This window comes from Homo sapiens, chromosome 3 (genome assembly GCF_000001405.40).
Source record: "Homo sapiens chromosome 3, GRCh38.p14 Primary Assembly".
NCBI lineage: Eukaryota > Metazoa > Chordata > Mammalia > Primates > Hominidae > Homo > Homo sapiens.
In genome coordinates, this window is record NC_000003.12 from 170,156,504 (window position 1) to 170,184,091 (window position 27,588).

Sequence of the window (27,588 nt, forward strand, 5' to 3'; positions counted from 1 at the left end):
GGCCTCCCAAAATGTTGGGATTATAGGTGTGAGCCATCGCACCCGGACTTTTAAGTAGTAATAGCTATCCATGAAGAATTTTCTTTTTAAGAGACTACATGGTTTTTTTTTTGAGATGGAGTCTCACTCTGTCACCCAGGCTGGAGTGCAGTGGCGCCATCTTGGCTCACTGCAAACTCCGCCTCCTGGGTTCAAGTGATTCTCCTGCCTCAGCCTCCTGAGTAGCTGGGATTACAGGGCTTGCTACCATGCCTGGCTAATTTTTGCATTTTTAATAGTAACGGGGTTTCACCATGTTGGTCAGGCTGGTCTTGAACTCCTGACCTCGTGATCCACGCACCTCGGCCTCCCAAAATGCTGGGATTACAGGTGTGAGCCACCGTACCCTGCTGAGACTACGTGTTTTTTAATAAATCAAAGAAATAAAATACCTATCCTATTTATTTTAGAAAAACATTACTTCTACTTTCTGCAATACAAGCTGGTGAAAATAAAACAAACATAAAAAACCTCACAGTCTCCCAATGTTTTCAGATTTTGGCATCCTAGAAAGAAAACTTGCAATGTCAGAACAATTATCATATTGGAAATAATTTAAAATGTCCAGCAACAGCGATGGTTATATAAAATAAAATCCATTCACACAGTGCAACCCCACACAGCAGCTTAAGTGAGATTGATCTCTGTCTGCAAACATAAAAAGATCTCAAGACACACTGTTAAGGGAAAAAAACAAAATGCAGAATACCTGTGTTTACAATGTGTAAAAAAGAGTGCTAAATGCATATATGCACACTTCTCTATGACATATATGTCCATAATACATAGGATAAGATGTGGAGGGGTATGGAACCAACTAAGAAGACAGACGGACTGAAAGGGAAAAGAGGCTTTAGGGAACTTAATACCTTTTTTACTTTTTCTGTACTGTTGGAATATTTTACAAAAATGCAGTAAAGCTGCTTGTGACCATACAAATATTCAGGCTACAGTTTTATCTCACACTAGTATTAGGTTTTGGAAAAGGCTTCTACACCCAATCACTTAAAATTATATTTTAAAGAATCCTTAAAAACAATGAGTTCTGAAGCCTAAAAAAATTCCCTGAATGAGATAATAGAGGATGAGGACACTAGCAGTAGAACACTGAGAATGACTGATTATAAGCAAATGATTTTCTCTCAGGTAAATTTACATCCCCTATATAGTATAAATATATCAAATGGACTCTGATATGTGGCTGATGTGATTTGGACATTTTTGAGAAAACTGAACAGTTTTAAGGTTCTTGATCTAAAAACAATCTCACTGACCCACTGAATATACTCTCAGGAAATTTTTAAGAAGAAAATAATAACTAAAAATATATACAAATATATATAATAAAATAGTCAATGCAGGTTTACTTATATTAGCAAAAAGACAGAAAAATTAAAACCACCAGCAAGAGAAAAGTAGTTTTTAAAAATGGTAGAACATTATATACTCATTAAAAATCATATTTACAACCAATAAATAAAGAAGACAATAAAGAAACAAACCATTTGCTTATCCCTCCTACTAAACCCCACTGAAATAGCAATTAATACAGTAAAAAAGGATTGAGAAAACAATCACACAAATCTAGACTATTGGAAATTCCATAAGGTAAGCTGACCTGAGCTCTTCAAACGTCATGAAAGAAAAAAAATGAAGTCTATTTTTATATTAAAAAGAAAAAAGAGTCTTCAATGCAGTATGTGATCCTTAATTAAATATTCAATGTGATCCTTAATTAAATACTCAATGCGGGCCAGGCATGGTGAGCCAAGATTGTGCCACTGCACTCCAGCCTGGGTGACAGAGACTCCATCTCAACAAAAAATCGAGGCAGGCGAATCACGAGGTCAGAAGTTCGAAACCAGCCTGCCAACATGGTGAAACCCCATCTCCACTAAAAATACAAAAAATTAGCTGGACATAGTGGCAGGCACCTGTAATCCCAGCTACTTGGGAGGCTGAGGCAGGAGAAATCGCTTGAACCTGGCTGGCAGAGGTTGCAGTGAGCCAAGACCACACCACTGCACTCAAGCCTAGGCCACAGAGTGAGACTCCATCTCAAAAAAGAAAAATTTCAAAAAAAGAAAAAAAAAAACCTGATAGGCCAGGCACAGTGGCTCACACCTGTAACCCCAGCACTCTGGGAGGCCAAAGCAGGTGGATCACTTGAGCTCAGGAGTTCGAGACCAGCCTGGGCAACATGGCAAGACTTTGACACTACAGAAAATACAAAAATTAGTCAGGTGTGGTGGCACACGACTATAATCTCAGCTACTTGAAGGGCTGAGCAGGGAGGATCACTTGAGCCTGGGAGGTGGCAGTTGCAATAAGCCATATTAGCACCACTGCACTCCAGCATGGACAACAAAGTGAGAACCTGTCTTGAAAAAAAAAAAAAAAGTGAAAATAAAAGTAAAATAAAATCTGGGCCGGGCGTGGTGGCTCACACCTGTAATCCCAGCACTTTGGGAGGCCAAGGCGGGCAGATCACAAGGTCAGGAGATCGAGACCATCCTGGCTAACATGGTGAAACCGCGTATCCACTAAAAATACAAAAAATTAGCAGGGCGTGGTGGCAGGCGCCTGCAGTCCCAGCTATTCAGGAGGCTGAGGCAGGAGAACGGGCGTGAACCTGGGAGGCGGAGCTTGCAGTGAGCCGAGATCACGCCACTGCACTCCAGCCTGGAAGACAGAGCGAGACTCGGTCTCAAAAAAAAAAAAAAAAAAAAAAATCTGATAAATAGCATAACAGAGATCCAAAGTATTTTATCCATAATAGAAAAACGGAATATTAGTTTGAAAGAACAATGAGAAAACAAGAAAATGCTCTGAGAAATTATAAATAGTGGCTGAACTAAAAATTTTTTAAAAGTCAAAGAAAGGGCTAAAAGAAAAAGTTAAGGAAATATCCCACACACAAAAAAAGGCAGTAAGTGAAAAGGTAAACAAGATAAAGGATCAATCCAGAAAGGTCAACATTCAACCAAGAGCTCCAGAAAGAGAAAACAGAAAATTAATTTCTCGTGGATTTGTTCAGTTTCACATATATGATCATTAAAGAACAAAATTAACTTCTTGCAGATTTGTTTAGTTTCACATACATGATCATTAAAAACCTAGTTTCACACTAAGAGGGCCCAACAGGTGTCCTACACAATGACATCTAGACACATTGCCATGAAACTACAAAATAAAAAACTAAAGCAAACAGGCATATCTCAAAGATTCTGGAAAGAAAAAACAGGCAGTTACCCCAGAAGAATGATAATGGAACTAACAACAGCCTTTTCTTCAGCAATACTAAAATTTTGAAAAAAGTAATCTTTGCTTTCAAATTTCCTCAGAAAAAATATTTTCAATACAGAATTCATGTAAAGATAATTATAAAAAGAGGTAATTTTCAAGCCCACAAAGATTTAGTTTTTCTTCCACATAGCCTTTAAAAGAAAGTTATAAGATACTCCAGCAAAACAAAATTCTTATCATACTGTCCTTTGACTATTTACTTGTCTGTATCCTCATTATACTCTAAAACCTTTGTTCACTTTCAATCCTTGGCACCTGACACCAAGTAGGCACTCAATAAAAAAGTACTGGCATAGACTGTCCTCAGGAATGTGGAAGACTAACATAGAATCCCACATAGTAATGAATCCCTAAATCTAACCTCTGCTGTCTCAGGATCATGATCTCACGGTGAGACCTCTTGTCTGCAAACTCTACCTGTTTTAAAAGTTTAGCGTTCCTCAGCTACTATAATACAATCCTCAAAGATCTCTCTTCTGTTAACTCCTATGACATTTACCACTTGATTAGTACTATTATATTATTTACTGTTTGATATATCTAAGCATAGTTCTTCAAATGCATACTCCCTGAGGGAAGAAACTTTGACTTACATGTACCACCAGAGCAAGCAGCACAATGTTGGACAATACACATATTTGCTATAATGGGCAACCAAAGAATCTCATCACTGGGGTCAGGATTAGAAACTCTACTATAACTCAATCTCAGGCAATTAGAATATATCCTAAAATAATTCTCTGCATTGCAATAATCAAGAATTAACATTAGGTCGGGCATGGTGGCTCACGCCTGTAATCCTAGCACTTTGGGAGGCCAAAACAGGCAGATCACCTGAGGTCAGGAGTTTGAGACCAGCCTGGGCAACATAGTGAAACCCTGTCTCTACTGAAAACATACAAAAAAAATTAGCTGGGTGTGGTGGTGGGTAACCTGTAATCCCAGTTACTCAGGAGGCTGAGGGAGGAGAATCGCTTCAACCTGGGAAGCAGAGGTTCTAGTGAGCCAAGATCGTGCCACTGCACTACAGCCTGGGTGACAGAGGGAGACTCAGTCTCAAAAAAACAAAAAAAGAGTTAACATTAATAGTGTTACAGTTCTTTTAGAATTTATCTAGCAGGCTTTCTGCTTTTTGCTGGGAAGCCCATAAAAAACAAACATACAAAAAGAGCATTAATATCATTACATATTCTAGTTGATACTTACTACCTACCATACATCTTTCAACAAGTATTTTTTAAGTACCTACTATGTGATGGGCACATGTATTTTTATAACACATACAAACTATTTAAGAAACTCTCACATAATCCTAGATTAACATCTAAACCACTAGTTCTCAAACTTTTTTCTTATTAATAAACACAGTCTTATTCAGAACTTGAGATTCAAACAGATCACAGAACTGCTCTGGCTGGCTAAGGCTTACATAAGATAAGGCCCATAGTCCAATCTGTCAGTCTATGGAGGCTGCCATAATAAAATACCACACACTGGGTCACTTAAACCAGTGGTCCCCAAACTTTCTGGCACCAGGGATCGGTTTCATGGAAGACAATTTTTCCACAGAGAAGGTGGGGAAAATGGGTTTTGGGATGAAACTGTTCCATCTCAGATCATCAGGCATTAGATTCTCAAACCTAGATCCCTCCCATGTGCAGTTCAAAATAGGGTTCACGCTCCTATGAGAATCTAATGCTGCCACTGATCTGACAGGAGGCAGAGCTCAGGCGATAATGCTTGCTCACTCACCACTCTCCTCCTGCTGTGAGGCCCAGTTCCTAACAGGCCACAAAGCAGTACCGTTCCATGGCCTGACCCCTGACTTAAACAACAGAAATTTATTTTGCACACTTTTAGAGGCTGGGAAGTCCAAAATTAAAGTGCCCACAGATTCAGTTTCTGGTGTGGGCTCTCCTCCTGGCTTGTGGACTGCCACCTTCTCACTGTGTCCTCACGTAGCAGAGAAATTGCCAGTGTCTCTTCTTCGAATCAGTTCTATCAGATCAGGGCTCCACTCTTATGACTTCCTTTAACTTCTATCACATCCCTAAAGGTCCTATCTCTAATACAGTCACATCAGTTAGGCTTCAACATATGAATATGGGGGACATAATTCAGTCCATAGCATCATTTCCTGAACTTTCTCTTTGATACAGATCCAAGGATATCTGGATGAAAAGACTAAAATCATTTAATTAGATAATTTAATTTTACAGAAAATTGGCAGGCAGGGAAGTTAAATGACTTGCCATAAGTCACATTAACAGTCAGTCACAGAATTTAAGATTAGAACCCCAGTCCCTCATCTCTTCCATTCTACTCAACTTTCTCTCATCACACCATGAACAGTAGTGAAGTCATCAAGTACTCTTGTGACATGAATGTTGAAGGAGCCACATGAGACATCATTAATCATGAAACCTCCCACATGAACTCCAAACTCATATAACCAATGCCTACTCAATACTATAGGTGGGTGTCTAATACACATCATCAACTTAACATGTCCAAAATCAAACTCCTAATTTTCTTCTCCAATACCTCCTTTAGCTCCCAATTTTTCCAGATGCTTGAGCCAAAATACTATGGAGTCATCCTTGACTCCTCACATCTTTTATTCAGTGCATCCGCATATCTTGTGTTAGCTCTCCTTTCAAAACATATCCAAATTTCTATAATTAAAGGTTAAAAAAAATTTACAATCTAGCTAACTACTTTTCTCCACCTCTAATATCACCATCATGATCCAAATTGCCAATATCTCTCCATTTGAATTATTACAAGAACATTTAACTCCATGCTTCTGTCTTTGACCCCTAGAACCTACTCTCAAAAACCAATTTGAGATCATGTCACTTCCATACCAGAACAGCTCTCCAACAGCTTCCCAACTCATACTTACTAAAACCCAAAGGTCTTATAATTTCCTCATGATTAGGATTACAATTACCTCTCTGATGTCATCTTTAAACCACACTCCCACTCTCACATTCCACTCCAGCCACACTGTCCTCCTTTCTGTTCCCTGTGCATGTCTGCCCTCCTCACCATTCTTAAAAAGGCCACCTTTATTAACAAGGCTTTCCCTGACCATCCTAATTAAAATGGCATATTCCCCCATTGCTTTATTTTTCTCCTTTTTTATTTCCTTGCTTTATTTTTCTCTTTCACTTACCATCATCTGACATACTACGTACTTGTTTAATGTTCGTCTATCCCTAGCTCCATGAGGAAAGAGATTTGTTTGTTGTGGTACTGTATCCTCAGCACCTAGAAGAGGATTTGGCGAATATTAAACGCTCGATAAATATTTGATGACTGAATGAGTGAATGCATGAATGAACAAAGTCATAAAACTGGGCTTCAAAAGCTCATCTTGTCTAGCATCATAACTAGAAAGTCATAAAAAAAAAAAAGTTTTTTCCCTTTCTGACAGAATAGTACAGTGAGTCGAAGCCAAAATATCAGGGATTCATGTAGTTATGGGCCAAAATGCAACAAGGAAAGAGAATGACATATACATAGCCCTTAAGTCACTCAGAGACTTATGATTGTAGTTTTCAGCCACATAATCCTTTCCATCTGAAAATTCCCAAATATTTAGTAAAGAGTGTGTGTGTGTGTGTGTGTGTGTGTGTGTGTGTGTGTGTGTGATGGCACTGTCCTCACATGAAAACAAACAAAATTAACTAAAAGCCCATTTACATTTACGTATAGAAATGCATAGTCCGCCGGGCACGGTGGCTCACACCTGTAATCCCAGAACTTCAGGAGGCCGAAGCAGGCTGATCACCTGAGGTCAGGAGTTCAAGACCAGCCTGGCCAACATGGTGAAACCCCATCTCTACTAAAAATACAAAAATTAGCCAGGCATGGTGGTGGGCGCCTGTAATCCCAGCTATTCGGGAGGCTGACGCACGAGAATCTCTTGAATCTGGGAGGTGGAGGTTGCAGTGAGCTGAGATCATGCCACTGCACTCCAGCCTGGGCAACAGTGCAAGACTCTGTCCAAAAAAAAAAAAAAAAAAAAAAAGGCAGGCAGGCATAGTAATAATATAGGAAAGCAGGCCAGGCACAGTGGCTCACGCCTATAATCTCAGCATTTTGGGAGGCCAAGGCAGGAGGACTGCTTGAGGCCAGGAGTTCAAGAACAGCCTGAGCAAGACAGCGAGACCCCTTCTCTATAAAAAAACAAACAAAAATAGCTGGGTGTGGAGGCATGCACCCATAGTCCCAACTACTCAGTAGGCTGAGGCAGGAGAATTGCTTGAGAATTTGAAGCTGCAGTGAGCTATGATCATGCCACTGCCCTCCGGCCTGGCCAACAGAGTGAGATAGTATCTCCTAACAAAAACAAACAAACAAACAAAAAAATACAGGAGAGCTTTAAACAAAACTTTGTGAGAGAAAATGGGACTACTGAAGGGAAGTAGTCACTTTTACTCTATATATTTGTGTTATCTATTCCTTAGGCAACAACAGTTTGTTCAATTTTATTTAGACAATATAAAAATTAACAAAATAAAGCTCTTCAACCTCCTTCCTCAGAGATGACCACTAATAACAGTTTGTTGTGTACCATTACAGATCTTCTGCTTGCGTAATCAAATGGATACACGCAAATAACTTTTAAAAAATAAGTAAAATGACAAGAATTCTGCTTCCAAAAAAATGGAGTAGACATACTTGTCCCTATTCCTCCTGCCAAGAACAACTAAAAACTCTTATGTTACATATAAAATAAACCTCAGAAGACCCCAAAAGGTAAAGGAAAAAATACATAGACTGGCTAGAGACCTCAGGACCAAGAAAACAACATGGTAATGAATTCTCTGGATTTTCATTTTGCCTCTTATAACCCACACTTGGAGGGTGGAAATGAAGAAGTCAGTAATCCAGAAACACCACAGGCACAAACAAAAATCCCCAACAAAAGCCTGCTCTTTTTAACCAAAGGACCAGGAAGGGCACAGCCGTGCAACACAGAAAACTTTTAGACAATAATTACTCTACTCCAACCAAACACTACAGAAAAAAACTGTGGCCCCACCCATGTCTGCAAAGAACTTGATTTTCCAACTCCCTCAACCCCTCCAACAGGTTCATGTCAGAGAAGGCCATATAGAGAACAGGACTTTCATACTAGCCAGGTGATAATAAACCACCACCAGCACCCCAATGCACCCTGCGGTCTCAGTGGAGACCATGTGGGGAGAGTAAAAGGTACTCCTATTCCTTCTAGATAGAGAGGCTTCAGTAGCAGCCTAGTGAGGAGCCAGAACTCCCACCCCAGCTTAGCAATTAAGAGGAACATCCTTCAAGTGTCAATGGAGGCTAAATGGGGAACCTGCACTTGTACCCCCTGTACTTCATGCCATATGGGGACTCATACTTGCACCCTCATATTGCATTAAGGCAGCACACTCTCCCTTTGAGAAACAGCCAAAATAAAAAGGTCAAATAAGATCACCAGTCACACAACATAATACTAAAAACATCCAAGTTTCAATAAAAAATCACTCATCACGTCCAGAACCAGGAAAACCTCAAAATGAACGAAAAGGACAACCAATAGAAGCCAATACCCAGATAACAAAGATATCAGAATTATATGATGAAGGCTGGGCACAGTGGCTCATGCTTGTAATCCCAGCACTTTGGGAGGCTGAGGCAGGTGGATCACCTGAGGTCAGGAGTTCAAGACTGGCCTGGCCAAAATGGGAGAAACCCCGTCTCTACTAAAAATACAAAAATTAGCCGGGCATGGTGGTAAACGCCTGTAATTCCAGCTACTTGGGAGGGTGAGGCATGAGAACTGCTTGAACCCAGGAGGTGGAAGTTGCAGTGAGCCAAGATCATGCCACTGTACTCCAGCCTGGGTGACAGAGCAAGACCTTGTCTCAAAAAAAAAAAAAAAAAAAAAAAAAGAATTATATGACAAAGCAGCCATCATAAAAATGCTTCAAAGAAGTCAGGCCCAGTAGCATGCACCTATAGTTCCAGCTACTTAGGAAGCCAAGACAGGAGGATCACTTGAGCCCAAGTGTTGGAGGCCGGCCTGGACAACACAGTGAGACCCATCTCTTAAAATGGTTCAAATAAGCAACAATGAGCATACCTAAAAGAAATTAAAAAAAAAAAAAAAGGCTCCCCAAAGAAACAGAATATATAAAGAACCACCAAATAATAATTTTATTTATTTTTATTTTTTGAGATGGAGTCTTGCTCTACCGCCCAGGATGGAGTGCAGTGGTGTGATCTCGGCTCATTGCAACCTCCGCCTCCTGGGTTCAAGTGATTCTCCTGCCTCAGCTTCCCAAGTAGCTGGAATTATAGGCACGTACCACCATGGAAGGCTTATTTTTGATTTTTAATAGAGATGGGGTTTCACCATGTTGGCCAGGCTGGTCTCAAACTCCTGACCTCAAGTGATCTACCTACCTCAGCCTCCCAAAATGCTGGGATTACAGGCGTGAGCCACTGCGCCTGGCCCCAAATAATAATTTTAGACTGCAAATAGAATAACCAAAATAAATAAGTTAAACAAGCTTACACAATGCATTCTTGCTTCTTACACTCAATACATAATGAAAATCCAAGTCTCTCTGTAGACACATATACAGCATTTTTTAGTAGCTATAATATTCCACTGTAGGAATTAACTATCATTTTTTTAACTAATCCTCAATTAATGGGCATTTATATTATTTATAATTTTTCACTATTATACATCCTGCATATGGGCATAATTATCTAGGTCATTTTTAATTATGTCCCTAAAAGTGACAGTGCTATATGAAAGGGTACGCACAGATTATTTTGGCTTTTTTTGAAACAGGGCCTCATACTGTTGCCCAGGCTAGAGTACAGTGGCATAATTATAGCTCACTGTAGCCTCAAACTCCTAGGCTCAAGCAATTCTCCTGCCTCAGCCTCTTGAGCAGCTGGGACTGCAGGCACACACCACCACACCTGGCTAATTTCTTTTTATTAGATGGGGTCTACGTTGCCCAGGCTGGTCTCAAACTGCTAGACTCAAGTGATCCCCCCACCTTAGCCTCCCAAAGCACTAGGATTACAAGCATGAGCCACCATTCTCAGCAGGGGCATGTACGTTTTAAAGTTTAACACACACTGCCAAATAACCCTCCAAAAGAGTTGCACCAATCTATATTACCACTAATAGTGTATGAGTATACCTACTTTTTCACATTCTTGCCAACAACAGGTATTGTGTAAACGTTTTTCCTTGTTTTCTACTTTAACAGATGACAACAGTACTTCATTGTTATTTGTGCATATATTTCTATTTTTTTAGACAGGGTTTTGCTCTGTCACCCAGGCTGGAGTGCAATGGTATGATCTCAGCTCACGGCAGCCTTGACCTCCTGGGCTCAAGCAAGCCTCCCACCTCAGCCTCCTAAGTAGCTGGAACTACAGGCGCTTGCCACCACATCCAGCTAATTTTTTGTTGTTGTATTTTGCTTGTAGAGATGGGGTTTCATTCGCATGCCTTGGGCTCCCAAAGTGTTGGGATTATAGGCATGAGCCAACATGCCCAGCCTTTTACATACATTTATTATTGATATGTTAAATATATTTTCATGTGTTTAAAAGTCAAAACATAGCCAGGCGCAGTAGTTCACACTTGTAATCCCAGCACTTTGGGAGGCCAAGGCGGGCAGATCACTTCAGGTCAGGAGTTCGAGACCAGCCTGGCCAACATGGCAAAACCCCATCTCTGCTTAAAATACAAAAATTAGCCGGGCATGGTGGCGTATGCCTGTAGTCCCAGCTGCCTGGGAGGCTGAGGCAGGAGAATCGCTTGAACCCAAGAGGTGGAGGTTGCAATGAGCCAAGATCACACCACTGCACTCCAGCCTGGGCGACAGAGCAAGGCTTCATCTCAAAAAAAAAAAAAAAAGTCTTTCTTTTAAAAATTACCAACTGAGAACTTCTGTGAATTCTCACTGTTTATCTTACTAATATGAGTCTTCAGTATGTTAGAAATATTATCAGCCAGGTGTAGTGGCTCATGCCTATACCACATAATCCCAGCACTTTGTGACCTGTGGTTGGAGGATCACTTGAGCTCAGGAGTTCGAGACCAGTCTGCCTGGGGAACACAGCGAGACCTCAACTCTAATAAAAATTTTAAAAATGAGCCAGGCATAGTGGTGTGCGCCTGTAGTCCCAGCTACTCAGCAGTCTGAGGTAGGAGGATCACTTGAGCCTGGGAGATTGAGGCGGTAGTGAGTTATGATCGTGCCACTGCACTCCAGCCTCAGAGGAAGACTCTGTCAAAGGAAAGGAAAGGGAATGGAAAGGCAAAGTCAAAGGGAAAGGGAAAGGAAGGCTAAAATTCTCCCTGTCTTCCCTTTTGAAAAAAAAATTAAAGTAAAAAAGGAAAAGAAATATTACCCATTTATGCAAACATATTTTCTCCCATTTTGCTGTTTTCACTTTGCTTATGCCGTTTTTTGGCAGAAGTAGAATTTTTAGTTGGTTTAACTTCCATTTTAAAATTTAACTAGATCTTTGCTCCATTTAAGTTGAAATACTAAAGACATAAACCTAAAGGCTCAGTCCGAATTAGTTTTAGAGCCAAACAATCATAAAATCACCACTCCACGGCCGGGCACGGTGGCTCACGCCTGTAATCCCAGCACTTTGGGAGGCCGAGGCAGGTGGATCACAAGGTCAAGAGATTGAGACCATCATGGCTAAGACGGTGAAATCCCATCTCTAAAAAATTAGCAGGGTGCGGTGGCGGGCGCCTGTAGTCCCAGCTACTCAGGAGGCTGATGCAGGAGAATGGCGTGAACTCGGGAGGCGGAGCTTGCGGTGAGCCGAGATCACGCCACTGCACTCCAGCCTGGGAGACAGAGCGAGACTCCGTCTCAAAAAAAAAAAAAAAAAAAAAATCACCACTCCACTACTGACAATAGTGTAGAATTAGTCATGATTCTAATTAGAGAAAAGAAAAGAATGCAGGTACCCACTCGTTACCTATACATTCAATTAACAAGTCTACTCTCCAAACCACATATAGATGGAGTATCTGTTATATGAAATCCTTGCGACCAGAAGTGTTTCGGATTTTTTTTTTTTTTTCAGATTTTGGAAAGATACAAACTGGTTTAGCATGCCAAATCTAAAAATCCAAAATCCAAAATGTTCCAATGAACACTCCTCCTTTGAATGTCATGTTGGTGTGCAAAAATTTCAGATTTTAGAGCATTTCGGGTTTTCATATTAGGAATAATCAATCAGTAGGTACACAGTTCCCCCAGGTGGTATGACTGGACTTTGGACTTGATTTTTAAAATAATATTCCATTTCCCCATTGGGATCCCACTCCTACTCTAAGCCCCAACTACCTAGCTGGTTACCTGACAGCTGTTTTTTCTTCTGGAGAATGGACCCTTTCCCACGGCTTCACTGTTATCTGGAAACCTAACTCAAAATAATCAAAACTCTGAAAACTACTAGTCTGTTACCTGATGGCTCATTATCATCACTACTTAAGAGATCTGTTACCATGCTCCCCCCCGTTTTTGGATATTGACCTAAATTTACTAAGTTACCTTGGGCATTGTAATTTTTACTGCTAGTCAAATTACTTGAGCAGAAGCTCACAACGGATAGTAAATAAAGCAAATGTAATGTATTATTCCTTTATTTTACTGGGAATCTGTTCTTCCTACTTACTTATCTTCCCCCACCAGCCATTTACAGCTTTTGGCATACTTCATGGTATAATGCTGCTGGTTTATGACAAGTAACATTAACAATGTCATATATATAAGCACAATCACTAGAATTCTAACTTCTGTGAATGTCACATACATAAAGCCATAATGAAAGACAGTTTAAAAAGATACCTTTTAATAACATGAAGGAAAAAAATTCAAAATAACATATCTATACAAATACATCCTATTGTTATTCCAGTATTTCACAGAATAAAGAATTTGTCTATATAATTTCCTTCAGTAGCCCACAAAATATTTACCACTCCTTTCCTTAATTACCATTGTATTAAAGACATCTGATGTCAATGACAAAAACTCCAGTATTAATGCTTAAGAGCTAGGTTACATTATTTAAGTTTTTCATTTAATCTAACATCTTCAAGTCATAGGGAACTTTTTAAACTAATCTTGTTCACACTCCAGGACATTCCCACGCCAAAAAAAAAAAGTCAGATCAACAGCCAGAAAAAAAAACCAAACAACAAAAAAAACCACAGCTATATGCTGACCACAGCATGTAGTTAGCAAAGACCATACCCTTAGCTGAAGAAATAGAGCACAATTCCTTAACCTTCAATTCCTTAACAACCTACAAACTATATTGTATTGGAGCCAATTTTATGAAGTATCAAAGTATTACCATTCTGGACCAGGAAAAAATATCTAGAAAGGACATTATTAGGTTCTCAACTACAGGCAGTTTGCCCCCCACCAGGAAACACCTATAGTTGTCACACTAGAGGAAGGAGAAAGACCACAAGCTGCCGGCATCTAGTAGCCAGGGATGCTGCTAAACATCCTATAAATTACACGATAGCCCCTGACAACAAAGAATTATCTGGCTCATAATGTCCATAGTGATGAGGTTGGGAAACCTGAGACAAATGATGAAATGTGAAAATGAACTGCACTGTATCAATGTTATATTTCCTGAATTTAGTAATTTTTCTGTGGCTTCAAAAAACAATAGCCTTGTTCTTAGGAAATACACATCAAAGTATTTAGGAATAAAGGAACATATCTCAACTTACAAATGACTCAGAAAAAAATATGTATACATGTAGTGGAAAAGAATGAATGATAAAGTAATGGGGCAATATGCAATAATTGATTAATCTGAGTAGAGTAGATACAGAAATTTTTTTATTATTATTGCAGTTTAAAATTATACCAAAATTAAAAGCTAAACAAGTATTACCATGCCCATAAATTTATTTTACCTGGGAAACTTGGCACAATTTCCCAATATATATGTGCAATATAGCGAATCAGCTTTCTTTTACTCCTTTCTCAAAATAAATTACCCTATCTTGAATGGATACTTGCAAATTGAACCCAAATAACTCATGTAAGCTGAAAGTATAATTTCTAAAATGTGAATTGCACAAAGTTAGAAATGCTTAGATGTCTACCAAGGACATGACATACTATTGTATATCACAGTAAATTCATGGCCAATATCCCTGCATTGTATATTTTAGGCTTTCAATACACACAGAAAGCTGAAACCACATAAGATCTGAACATGATCAGTGCAAATGGATATACAAGAAATAATACAAAAAGATTTTTTTAAGACTCAGATTTTCATAAGTTTAACATTAGTTCTGAATTCTTGAATTTTATCATTTCTATTTCTGGGCAATTGTTACTTTAAACAGCATGCAACAAATTATAATAACAGCTTCATAAATAACAACAGTTTACTTTTGGAAAACAATTCTTTAAAATTTTAAATCCAGGAAAAAAAAATTTAGGGAACTTACAGACGTTTGGGACATACTTGACTGCTGTGTGACACTTCCTGTGGGAGATGTAGATGGTCTTCCACTGGACAAACTTGCCTAAAATAGTAAGACTTTTAGAATATGTCGGTAAAAACCTGAAGTTAAGAACTTTCTGGTACCATGATAACACAAAACCACAACAATAAATGTCAAAAGGCCTATGTATGAAACAACTAATTTTATAGTCAACATGGCTTAAGCTTCGGTTAAACAGATTTTTTAAATAAGGAAAAGCTGAATGGTGAAAACAGGGGATCCAAAGACTAATCTTATTTTATTAGCTACTTTATTGTCAGTTTCACTTTATGGGTCTCTGTCATCTTTAAAGTGGAATCACTACTCCAGAGTTATGAAAAAGAAATTAGAGCTACAGCAAGAGCCAGTGAGTGGGTTTCAGTTTCCTAACTTGTATCACAAACATGTTATTTAAAAATTACACTACTAAGAAGCAACAGCTGAGAATCTGTTGGTAACAGAAATAAACCTTTTTCAGGTTCAGTCAATTGAGATCCTCCTCTGGTGAGGGGATTTAAGATTAAATCTTACACAGCTTTATTTAAATAGTACAATAGTAACAAAAATCTTTTTTAAAAACAAGCATTTAATAATGAAATCCTGTTATCAGTAGGAATAATATGATTGGATTTTAGAAAAATGGATATACCTATCTTTGTATAAAAAATTTCTGGAGAAATATGTATTAGATTGTTACTGTGGCCACCTTTGAAGAACGGGAAACAGTGATAGACAGGGAAAAGGAACAGCTTTACTTTATCTCTTATAAACAACTTAATATTGTTTGATTTTTTAATGAGTATAATTACTTATATAATTTTTTTAATCTTATTTTTAGTAAAAATACAATTTATGTAAGCCTAAGTACTCACTGTTGTACCTAGAACTTTATACACATAAACTAGCATAGCATTTCTTCAATCTGGATAAAAAGCACTGAGACAAAAGCTAGAAACAGAGTAACATAAAAAAACATATCCCCTTTTTCTCAATTAACTTCTATTCGGCAACCTATTAATATATTTCCTCCGGGAAAAATAACCACAGGACATCTGAGAACTCTGAAATAATACCCAATCTATTTATTTTCAGTAACTACCTACAGATAACAGAAACTTTGATCTCATAAACTCTTATTTTAGTCTTACCTGAACAGCAGCAAGGCTCTGAAGCTGGGAGCTGCTTAAATGCTGCTGCTGAAGAGCTGCAGTATGCAGCATCAAGTGCTGTTGTTGGGCTGCATACATTTGCTGAAGGTACTGAGCAGCTGAGCTGGGGGGCCGATGCAATGCCTGTTGAATTACCTGTGATAAGTCAATTGAACCAATGTCAAACCATAATCTCAACCTTTATCTTAATCAGAAAATCAAAGTATAAAAAAGTGGCAGTTTAAAATTTCACTGCTTTAATACATAATATCATCAAGCTTATTAACATTATTTCTTTCCTAGTTACATATCACTAGAAATCACTAACTTGTACACATTAAAACTACCCAGTGGGCCGGGCACGGTGGCTCACGCCTGTTAATTCCAGCACTTTGGGAGGCCGAGGTGGGCGGATCACAAGGTCAGGAGATCAAGACCATCCTGGCTAACATGGTGAAACCCCGTCTCTACTAAAAACACAAAAAATTAGCCAGGCATGGTGGCACATGCCTGTAGCCCCAGCTACTCGGGAGGCTGAGGCAGGAGAATCGCTTGAACCTGTGAGGTGAAGGCTGCAGTTGAGCCAAGATCATGCCACTGCACTCCAGCCTGGGCGACACAGCAAGACTCCCATCTCAAAAAAAAAAAAACAAAACAAAACCCAGTGGACAATTCGCAAAAGACAGGCCAGGCCAACTAAGCATTTCAAAAGATTTTCAATCTCACCAGTAGTCAAAAACTTACAAATTAAAACAAGATACTGTTTTCCAACTTTCAGATGGATAAAGATTTAAAAGAATACTACTACTACCTGGGGAAACCAATACTCCCATATTGCTAGTAAAAATTCAAGTTGGCATAACCTTTTTGGATAAAACTTCGTAGAATTCAGGGCTTGGGTGTGGAGAGAAATACCTTTACCATGCAACCATAACAAATAGTAATGTAGATCAGTGCTGTCCTATACAGTAACAACTAGTCACATGTGCCTACTGAGCACTTAAAATGTGGTTAGTGCAACTAAAGAATTGAGTTAATTTTAAATTGAATTTTAATTAATTTTAATTTTAATGTAAACAGCCACAAGTAACTACTGGCCACTATAGTGTACATTGCTGATACCGATCTATATTTACTAACAAAAAGAAAATCAGTGGGTTACAAAATAGTATATAGAGTAAGATACCATTTTTATATTAAAATATTTGAAAGAATCCACAGGAAAACTTTCAAAGACCACTGATGGGTAGCTAGATTAGAGGTGATTTTTAGCTTCTACTTCATACTCTTCTATAGATGTCTGAAAATCTTACAATGAGCAGGTATTATTAATAATCATATAAAATTACAAAGCAGCTGGGCAGGTTGGCTCATGCCTGTGATCCCACCACTTTGGGAGGCCAAGGCAGGCAGGTCACCTGAGGTCAGGAGTTCAAGACTAGCCTGGCCAACATAGTGAAACCCTGTCTCTACTAAAAATACAAAACTTGGCCAGGCATGGTGGCATGCACCTGTAATCCCAGATACTCAGGAGGCTCAGGTGGGAGAACTGCTTGAACCCAGGAGGTGGAGGCTGCAGTGACCAGAGATCATGCCACTGCACTCCAGCCTAGACGACAGAGCAAGACCCCATCTCAAAAAAATAATAATAATAAAATAAAAATAAAAAATAAAATTATAAAGCTATTTCTTCTTTAGAAAATTACTCAATAATTTAAAAAATTTTTAAATGTCAAATACCTTGTTTTGCTTCAACATTGAATAAAACTATTCTTACTTAATTCCTTAAAAAGTGTTAATTACTGTGAATATTTGTTAGTAAAATGTAAAATCTGAGCCTGAAACTTCATAAATAAATATAGAAAAGTCAAGTACTCTACTAAAATCAGAGAAAATTCTTACATTTCTCCAAAAGGTTAAGTCAGAATAAGTCAATCCTATACAACCAAATCCGAAAGTCACATTGTGCTCACTGTGACTCTGAAACAGCACAGAACCCTAATCGCAGCATCAAACCAGAGTTTTCAAAGAGCTAAGGGAGTAATAGTGCCATAATCCTATAGCTTGAGGGTCTCTCAGGACATCTTGAGCCATAATGCCATGAATCCTTTTATCTAAACTTCAAGACAGCATATTTCTGTGTGTTATTGTTTATTTTCATGTGTTAATATCTCACCTCTCCAACTATAGACTACTATGCCTGATACAAATTTCTGTCACAAAATCAATGGGAGCTTTTGACCTCTACCTGCAGGGGACTATAGGCCAGCATTAAGTGATTCAGAATTATAACAATATACCTTTTTTAGTCAGATCAATCTCTATTTGTTCTTCTAATTCCATAACAAAATTCTAAAAGCACTGGACTGTATACGGAAAAAAATTCTAAAATCAAACTGAAATAACAATCTATTTGACACATACTTTTGTCAGAGTATACTCATTTTTTCTGTTGTCAGCACAGTCTTTCACTACTATTCAATTACTCACAGCAATGAGTAAATACAAGTTATAGATACAGCAAATTGTTCTTATTTATTATAAATTCTTATTCACCCAAGGAGGGTGAAGAGAATTCCCAGGACAGAAAAAGCAAGCTGGAAGATTAAAGAATTACTTAGGTAGTTCAATAAATATTGATTTGATTTCATTTTGGGAGAAGCAATTCTATGGTCTCATAAGAAACAGAGTCAGTGCTATTTATGAGATATATCTACATCTACATATCTTTCTATTAATTTTTTATTAATCTATGCAGCTTAATTGAAAACTAGAGGACAAAATGGTATATTAAGCGATCACATTATCAGTCAGGCGTGGTGGCTCATCCCAGCACTTTGGGAGGCTAAGGCAGGAGGAGAGCTTAAAGCCAGAAGGTCAAGACTAGCCTGGGCGACATAGTGAGATCCTGTCTCTACAAAATAAAAAAATTAGCCAAGCATAGTCACATGTGCCTGTAGTCTCAACTACTCAGGAGGCTGAAGCAGGAGGAGCACTTGAGCCCAGGGGGTCGTGAGTTGTGATCATGCCACTGGACTCCAGCCTAGGCAACACAGAGGGAGAGAAGAAAAAAAAAAAAAGGGGGGGGCCAGGCGCAGTGGCTCACGCCTATAATCCCAGCACTTTGGGAGGCCGAGGCGGGCGGATTACCAGCTCAAGAGATTGAGACCATCCTGGCTAACATGGTGAAGCCCCATCTCTACTAAAAATACAAAAAATTAGCTGGGTGTGGTGGCACGTGCCTGTAGTCCCAGCTACTCAGGAGGCTGAGGCAGGAGAATCGCTTGGACCAGGGAGGCAGAGGTTGCAGTGAGCCAAGATCGCGCCACTGCACTCCAGCGTGGGCTACAGGGCAAGACTCAGTCTCAAAAAAAAAAAAAACAAAACCCGGCCGGGCACGGTAGCTCATGCCTGTGATCCTAGCACTTTGGGAGGCCAAGGCAGGTGGATCACAAGGTCAGGAGTTTGAGACCGGCCTGACCAATATGGTGAAACCCCATCTTTACTAAAAATACAAAAATTAGCTGGATCTGCTGGCACATGCCTGTAGTCCCAGCTGTTCTGGAGGCTGAAGCAGGAGAATCGCTTGAACCTGGGAGGCAGAGGTTGCAGTGAGCCTAGATCACGCCACCGCACTCCAGCCTGGGCGATAGAGCGAGACTCGGTCTCAAAAAAAAAAAAAAAAAAAAGATCTAAATCCTTTTCCCTGTATCCCTTACCTCAGAGAAAGGTAAAAAACATTAAAACCTCACTCTGCATTCAAGTTTGAATTTCTGGTGAACTGGCTGGTTCCACTCCACAGTGATTTTGGAAAACTAAATCCTAAACCAAAAACAGTTAAATAGACATTATACTGGGGTATCCACCATGGAAAAATGGAGCAGAGGAAGGACTATATTGCAAGCAGTTGTTTTCAGGGTGGATGCAATTATAAGGATTCTACCAGAAGAAAGCAGGTATAATAGAAAAAATAAGAATTCACAGAGTGGTTAAGGGCACAAGGGCTGAAGTCTGAGAACTAGCTAGGTGAGTTTGGGAAAGTTATTTAGCTGATTTAAAACATTTATTTTCCCATCAGTAAAATGGAGATAATAATAATAGCTACTTCACAGAGGGCTGGTAATGATTAATGGAGATAATTCATGTAACATTTATCAAATGTTTGGCACGTAGCAATTATTCAATAAGTATTAGCTATTACTATCTACTGGAAACCTATAATGTGCCTTACACAGTTCTAGATACTTCATTAATCTCAAAGATACTTCATTTAATCCTCAGAGTAATTAATGAAAGAAGTAGTCTCACCCTCATTTTAGTTTTCTGAGGCTCAAGGGGATTATGTCTCATACCCAAGGCTATATAGCTCCTAAAGATAATGAAAATGGAATTCAAACAAAGTATAATAGAGTGGAAGGTCCATGCCCTTTTTATATAATACCATATTGCCCCAACCTCCATTATCATAAATGTTAACTAAGTAAACTTTACTTTCTCAACTAAGTGACTTCCTAGTTCAATATTCCCTTCCCCCTCTGCCCCTAAGGTATTTAGAATGGATCCTCCTGCTTAGGGTTCTTAGGCCACCTGGGTTTAATATAAACTTCGTAACATATCTACATACCTGAACAGATCTCCCTAAGTCTATATTTTGAGTTCCAATATAAAATAAAGCTACAACCATTCTGTATGTTGGGGCTCTAGGTTGAATGCCTTCATACTGTAGCAGCACCTAGAGACTTTCCCCTTATAATTTTCTTTACACATAATCCTATAAACTACATGCTGACAAATGTAAGCCCTCTCAATACTATATATATATATTTTGAGATGGAGTCTCACTCTTTTTGCCCAGGCTGGAGTGCAGTGGCGCTATCTTGGCTCACTGCAACCTCTGCCGCCAGGGTTCAAGTGATACTCCTGCCTCAGCCTCCCAAGTAGCTGGGATTACAGGTATGCATTACCATGCCTGGCTAATTTTTGTATTCTTAGTAGAGACGGGGTTTCACCATGTTGATCAGGCTGGTCTCAAACACCTGACCTCAAGTGATCCGCCAGCCTTGGTCTCCCAAAGCGCTGGGATTAGAAGTGTGAGCCACCACGCCCAGCATTTTTTTTTTTTTTTTTTTTTTGAGACAGGGTCTCACTCTGTCACCTAGACTGGAGTACAGTGGTGCGATCACAGCTCATTGCAGCCTTGACCTCCTGGGCTCAAGCAATCCTCCCACCTCAGCCTCCTGAGTAGCTGGGACCACTGGCACATGCCACCATGCCCTGCTGATTTTTGTATTTTTTGTAGAGATGGGGTTTCAACATGTTGTCCCAGCCAGTCTCCAACTCCTAAGCTCAAGCTATCTCCCTGCCTTGGTCTCCCACAGTGTTGGGATTACAGGCGTGAGCCACCACGCCTAGCCAATAGTATGATTATTAATTAACTTTGTTGGCTGTTGCTGTGGTTAAATGTGTCCCCCAATTAAGTATGTGTTGGAAACTTAATCTCCAATGCAACAGTGTTAAGAGGTAGGACCCCTGAAGGGTGATTAGGCCATAAGGACTCCGCCCACATGAATAGACTAAAGGAAAATTTTTTTTTTTTTTTTTTTTTGAGACGGAGTCTCGTTCTGTCGCTCAGGCGGGAGTGCTGTGGCGCGATCTCCGCTCACTGCAAGCTCCGCCTTCCGGGTTCACGCCATTCTCCTGCCTCAGCCTCCCGAGTAGCTGGGACTACAGGCGCCCGCCACTGCGCCCGGCTAATTTTTTGTATTTTTAGTAGAGACGGGGTTTCACCGTGGTCTCGATCTCCTGACCTCGTGATCCGCCCGCCTCGGCCTCCCAAAGTGCTGGGATTACAGGCGTGAGCCACCGCGCCCGGCCGACTAAAGGAAATTTTAAAAGGGCTTGAGGCTGCAAATTTGGTATCTTGCTCTCTAGTCTTCCACCACGGAATGAGGCAATAAGACGGCCCTCGTGAGATGCCAGCTCCTTCATATTAGACTTCCCAGCTTCCAGAAATGTAAGAAATAAGTTTCTTTTCTTTACAATTACACAGTCTTGGTATTCTGCTATAGCCACACAAAATGGATTGAGACAGTTGATTGAAACATTAGTAATTCTAACTGTACATTTGAGAATATGAAACAATACATAAATCCAGCTTAAGCAAAAAGTAATATGACATCTTAAGTCTTAGACTACCCATCACTACAGCTGAAATACCTGTACAGCATGTCGGTCTGAACCACTGTAGACAGAGATCTGTGGCTGCTGCATTCGAGAGGAGGAAGTGGTGATGGTGGTGGTGGTGGTACTGCTGGTTGTTGTTGACACAGAAGATGTTCCCGGGTTTGGTTCAGTATCCATAGCTGTACTATGGTCCTTAAATCTGGCAGGTCACACAAAGTGTTTGTATTGGTAAAAGCATTATCTTATGAGCTTTAAAGAATATTCATTCCAAAGAAATAATCAGCAGTAATCTAAACTGCTAGGAAGGCTCTCATAAAAGACAGCCAACACACAGTCACTATAAGCACTTAGAAGGGAAAAATACTTCACATATATGGAGCATATTTAATAGTTAATACCTACTACATTTGAATTCAAATGATTCAGAATACGTAACTCAGATAACGCATAGCCAAAAGTTTATCTTTGCATTACCGAAAGATTTTTTTTAAACCAAAACAGGTAATGAGAGAATACTAAACTACCTAGGAAAATAAAAATTTAAGCAGTATCAGAGTATTTTAAAACATTTCTTTACATTCTTTTGACCACACTAATTACAAACTAAAGTCATTCTTACCTATACATTAGAACAGAATGCCTAGGGACTCATGTTAACTAGCTTAGTTTAGTTTACCATATAAACTTTGCTTAAAAATAAGTTCTTTTTAAAAAATGTTAAAAAGTAATTTTTTTAACTCACACTGGCTTTTCCCCTAATCAGTCTACAACGCTGTCCTTACTACTTCTAATAGCTGAGTTATACTTATTAGCAGATTGCTGTGAGAACACAGAGAAGCAGCAAACAGCAACTTCCCATACCCTTACAAAATCTTTTTCACAAAGAATTACTCCAGATTTTGAAAACATAAATTATGTCACTTCCTCATGTATGGACAGTAAAGTACACTTTTATACCAGACTTTCTTCCCTCCAATACTATAATCTTACTTGTTGTGGTACAAAATTCCACTAAATACAGAATCTGTATTTGAATAAATTCAAACACTTTAAGTCAATTCTAAGGACCTCCATATTGTTAGAAACCAGAAGAGCAGTAGTTTTTGTCGGGCCAGAAATGTACCTCGAAGGTGAAAAGCACACAAGAGATTATACTGGTTTTATCTCCCTTTTCTTATCGGTCTTTTCTTCTGAGAAACTAAATCCCACCCACCCCACATTAGCAGCACTGATAAAAATGTAAGAACACTTTCTATTCCATGAAAAAACAAATGAATCTGGCACTAATTGGTACACATACACTATTACCATAGCGTTGCTTTTTTAAGTACAAATTTTCTTTGTTCTATATTACGTATGTAAACAGTATTTATATTCTCTGAGGAACCAAATGTAAAAAAAAACCGAACAAAAAAAAAAAAAAAGGAAAAGTGGGGGCCTTGAGTGGCGGTTCACACCTGTCATCCTACCACTCAGGGGGAGGACTGCTTGAGCTTAGGCGTTCAAAGCCAGCCTGGGCAACATAGGGAAACCCTGTCTCTACAAATGAAAAATAAAAAATTAGCCAGGCCTGGTGGCACAGGACTGTGGTCCCAGCAACTTGAGAGGCTAAGGTGGGGAAATCGCTTGAGCCCAAGAGGGCCAGGCTGCAGTGAGCTATGATCGTGCCACTGCACTCCAGCCTGGGAGATAAGAGTGAGAGACGCTGTCACAAAGAAAGAAAAAGAAAATAAGAGGAAAAGTGAAAGGAAAACCGTCAGGAAGAAAGCTGACTCCTCACTTACTTTTTGGATTAGTAAATAATTCATACATTTTTATGCTTCTGTTTTTTTTTTTTTTTTCCAAACTGCCTTCCAATCAAATCACAGCATCATATGGTAACTGTTCAACATTATACAGTATTAGTGGTAGGTAAGGTAAACTTTTTACCGAACTGCTGCCTGTCATACTACTACCGTATCGTGTACCAGTGACATGCAAAAGGCCAGCTTAAGTTCTGGTTTTTTAAAAGTGTTAATCTGCTCAACTATGCCCTCCAATCCAAACAGTATGGTAAACAGTTCTAACTCCTAACCAAAAATGGTCACAGAGAATCCAAATTCTCGGCATAAGTCTAAACATCGGTTGAGCGGAACTGGCCAAACCATCGCACTGCATTTCGAGGCCTGGCACAAAAGAACAACTTTGGTAACTCCACCGTCTAGGCATACTAATACCTGCAAAATACAGCCAGCAGTTCTGGTGCACAAGAGGCCTACCCAGGAAACAGTAAGTTCTGGAGTCGTTAACTAAACATACCGTCACACCGACACACAAGAATGTGGCCCGCGTGTGAGGCAGCAACGCTGCACCCAGAGAATCGAGGGAAAGACCTTTCTTTCAGGGTGTTTTCAGCCTCACCAGACCTGCAAGCAGCCCCCGCCGCTCTCAGGCCCACGCCGGGATGCCTCCGGCACGAGGGAAGCGGGCAGCCCCGCGTGTCGGATTCTCCCGCTGAGGAGGAGTGGGGTGGCGCCGGGGCGGGAAGGAGAAGAAGGCGAAGGAGGCCTGGCAGTGCCCGCCCTGCCCTACCCAGCCTCCGCGGGCCCCTGCGCAGGCAGCCGTAACAAGGCTGCCCGCGGGGCCCACTTGCAGGAATGACAGCGCCTGAGGAGCCCACCCGGGCTCGTTCCCCGGAAAACCCCAGCTCCCGGAGTCCCAAGGGTGACCCTGCGCGCAGGGCCGCGCAGATCCGGGACCTGATGGCGGAAGGGGCGCTCCTGCCTGGAGGGTAACTGGACCCTAGAGTTCGTCTTCGCCCCGCGACACGGGCCTAGCCGGCTCCTCCACGATAGGACGGGTCTCGAGTCTCTCTTTCCCCACACTGCCCGCAAAAGAGCCCTGAGCTTTCCCCTGGGGGAACGTGTCGCTGCCCCAACTCGCCCCCCCTAGTTACGACATCAGTCACCATCTAGTCACTCACTCCGCTTCCGCCATCTTCTCTCCTCCATCACTAACATGGGCTGCGCATGCGCCCCCCGGCGGCGGGCGGAGAGGCGGGGTCGGCTCAGCCCCCGGAGCCAGAGGTCACGTGGCGTCCTCAGCTTCCAATCGCCCCCGCCCACCATAGGAATTGCTCTTTCTGGAAAGTGACCAGATTTCCCCCACTAAGATAACCAGTGTCTCCTCTCCAAACCCCTCTCTTTCTCTCCTCCAGGATCTTCCTCTTGGGGAGATATCTGTAATAAAGATATAAAAAGTTATCTTAGATTGTTAAATTTAAAATTTAAAGAATATGGGCGCGGTGGCTCACCTGTAATCCCAGCACTCTGGGAGGTTGAGGAGGATCTCTTGAAGCGAGGAGTTCAGGACCAGCCTTGACAATAAAGTGAGACCCTGACTCTACCAAAAAAAAGCCCAACAATAATAATAATAATAATAATAATTTTGAAGAATATCTAAAATATACCAAAGCCTATGCAAACTGCAGAGTGGTTTCAAAGAAAATACCCACGAGGATTAGAGGCTGAGGTCTCAGGGAGAAAGGAAATTCAGGGCTGGCTGCAGGGCTTGTTGCCTGGGAGCTTTGGGGCTTGAGGGTCCCAACCAGCAGTACCTCTCTCCAGCTGAAAGATAGTGTTCAGATGCCAGTGAATGAGTGGTTAAGGAATCATCCTGACTACCCTAGGCATATCATTCATGTCTTCAGTATGAATTTGCTGAGCGCTTAGTAGGAATTGCAAACTTGAACACCACAAGGAACAAGCAGGAACAGCCACCAGTTTGCTAGTGTAGTCTGCTAAATGCCAACAACTCAGGTGTGTGAGACAAACATATAAAGATAAGTAAAATAACACATTTAAATATAAATATGAAATAATAAAGATGAGTCCTTGTCTTCCAAGAAGTAGCGGAGCGGGTTTTATAGACATTTGCATACAATATAATGTGTTCTGAAGACCGGGACGATGGCTCACCCTCATAATACCAGCACTTTGGGAAGTGAAGTTGGGAGGATTGCTTGAGCCCGGGAGTTTGAGACCACCCTGGGCAACATGGGGAAATCCCATCTCTACAAAAAATACAAAAATTATCCGGATGTCGTGGCGCGCACCTGTCATCCCAGCTACTCAGGAGGCTGAGGAAAAAGTGTTCTGAAACAGATCTATTAAGTGCTTTGGAAAGTTTAAAGTTCAAGGTGTATAATAAATCTTTACCTCCCTTTACAGGAAAAAAAAAGCATACGAACCATAAACAATGTCTCTTTTTGCATTTTGTGAGGTGATGGAGTCACAATAATTTCAAGAACTGAGAATGAAGTATTGATATAAATCCATCCGGAAGTGTAATATGGTCTGATGAAAAGTATACTTAGTCTTAGAAATCCTATATGCCAGGATGTGCCTAAGGAAGGGAAAAGAACACTTCCCATCTATGTGAGCTTAAATTGTCCCTTTGCCCACTTTTCCCATCTGATAACATCTTTTTTTTTTACCTTGTCTACCTAATAGCAGTACTATCTACTACTACTTCTAGAATTCATTGAGAAAGTCTCCTTTTAAAAGTCCCTGTAGACCAGGCACAGAGGCTCACTCCTGTTATACCAGCAATTTGGGGGGCCGAGGAAGGCGGATAACCTGAGGTCAGGAGTTCAAGACCAGCCTGGCCAACATGGTGAAACCCTGTCTCTACTAAAAATACAAGAATTAGCCGGGTGTAGTGGCACCTGCCTATAATCCCAGCTACTCCAGAGGCTGAGGCAGGAGAATCGCCTGAACCTGGGAGATGGAGGTTGCAGGGAGACAGTGCCACTTCATTACAGCCTGGGAAAGAGACTGAGACTCCATCTCAAAAGAAAATAAAAAGTCCTTGTAGATGCTTTAAAATATTACTGCTTTTTCTTTCATTCTGACTTGCTCATATATCATTGTTATTAAACTTTTTTTTTTTAAATTGAGACGGAGTATTACTCTGTCGCCCGGGTTGGAGTGCAATGATGAGATCTCGGCTCACCACAACCTCCGCCTCCCGGATTCAAGCGATTCTCCTGCCTCGGCCTTCCGAGTAGCTGGGATTACGGGCACGTGCCACCACACCCAGCAAACTTTTTCTATATTTTTGGTAGAGACGGGGTTTCACCATGTTGGCCAGGCTGGTCTTGCACTCCTGACATCAGGTGATCCACTGGCCTCAGCCTCTCAAAGTGCTAGGATTACAGGCGTGAGCCATTGCACCCGGCCTTTTATTAAACTTCCAAGAATCGGCCGGGCGCGGTGGCTCATGCCTGTAATCCCAGCACTTTGGGAGGCCAAGGCGGGTGGATCACCAAACGTCAGGAGTTCAAGACCAGCCTGGCCAATATGGTGAAACCCC

At 40.6% G+C, this 27,588-nt stretch overlaps 1 protein-coding gene and 1 pseudogene across 23 annotated transcripts in view, besides 2 other annotated features; one reads left to right on the forward strand and one right to left on the reverse strand.

Annotated features, from left to right (window-relative positions):
* Window positions 1-25,230, reverse strand: part of PHC3 (polyhomeotic homolog 3) — a 94,150-nt gene extending 68,920 nt beyond the window's left edge. For 12 of the 23 annotated variants that reach the window (NR_199370.1, NR_199371.1, NM_001438002.1 and 9 more), the window contains exons 1-4: window positions 25,199-25,230; window positions 22,270-22,435; window positions 16,054-16,209; window positions 14,870-14,947 (exon numbers count right to left, since the gene is read on the reverse strand). Coding sequence is in view for 21 of the 23 variants with exons in the window: in NM_001438002.1 (NP_001424931.1) it covers window positions 14,870-14,947; window positions 16,054-16,209; window positions 22,270-22,435; window positions 25,199-25,212 (414 nt within the window). In the remaining 2 variants the exon portion in view is untranslated. Of the gene's footprint in view, window positions 1-14,869; window positions 14,948-16,053; window positions 16,210-22,269; window positions 22,436-24,452; window positions 24,472-24,974 lie in introns of those variants that run through there. The other 11 variants (XM_047448988.1, XM_047448987.1, NM_001438001.1 and 8 more) reach the window with 4 other exon arrangements.
* RNU7-32P (RNA, U7 small nuclear 32 pseudogene) lies at window positions 4,433-4,491 on the forward strand (annotated as a pseudogene).
* Window positions 24,695-24,774: a silencer, noted in NCBI's record as "silent region_14880". NCBI's record gives its function as "represses an Ori minimal core promoter by ATAC-STARR-seq in GM12878 lymphoblastoid cells {active_cell/tissue: GM12878}" and the evidence as "EXISTENCE:reporter gene assay evidence [ECO:0000049][PMID:35858748]".
* Window positions 25,245-25,384: a silencer, noted in NCBI's record as "silent region_14881". NCBI's record gives its function as "represses an Ori minimal core promoter by ATAC-STARR-seq in GM12878 lymphoblastoid cells {active_cell/tissue: GM12878}" and the evidence as "EXISTENCE:reporter gene assay evidence [ECO:0000049][PMID:35858748]".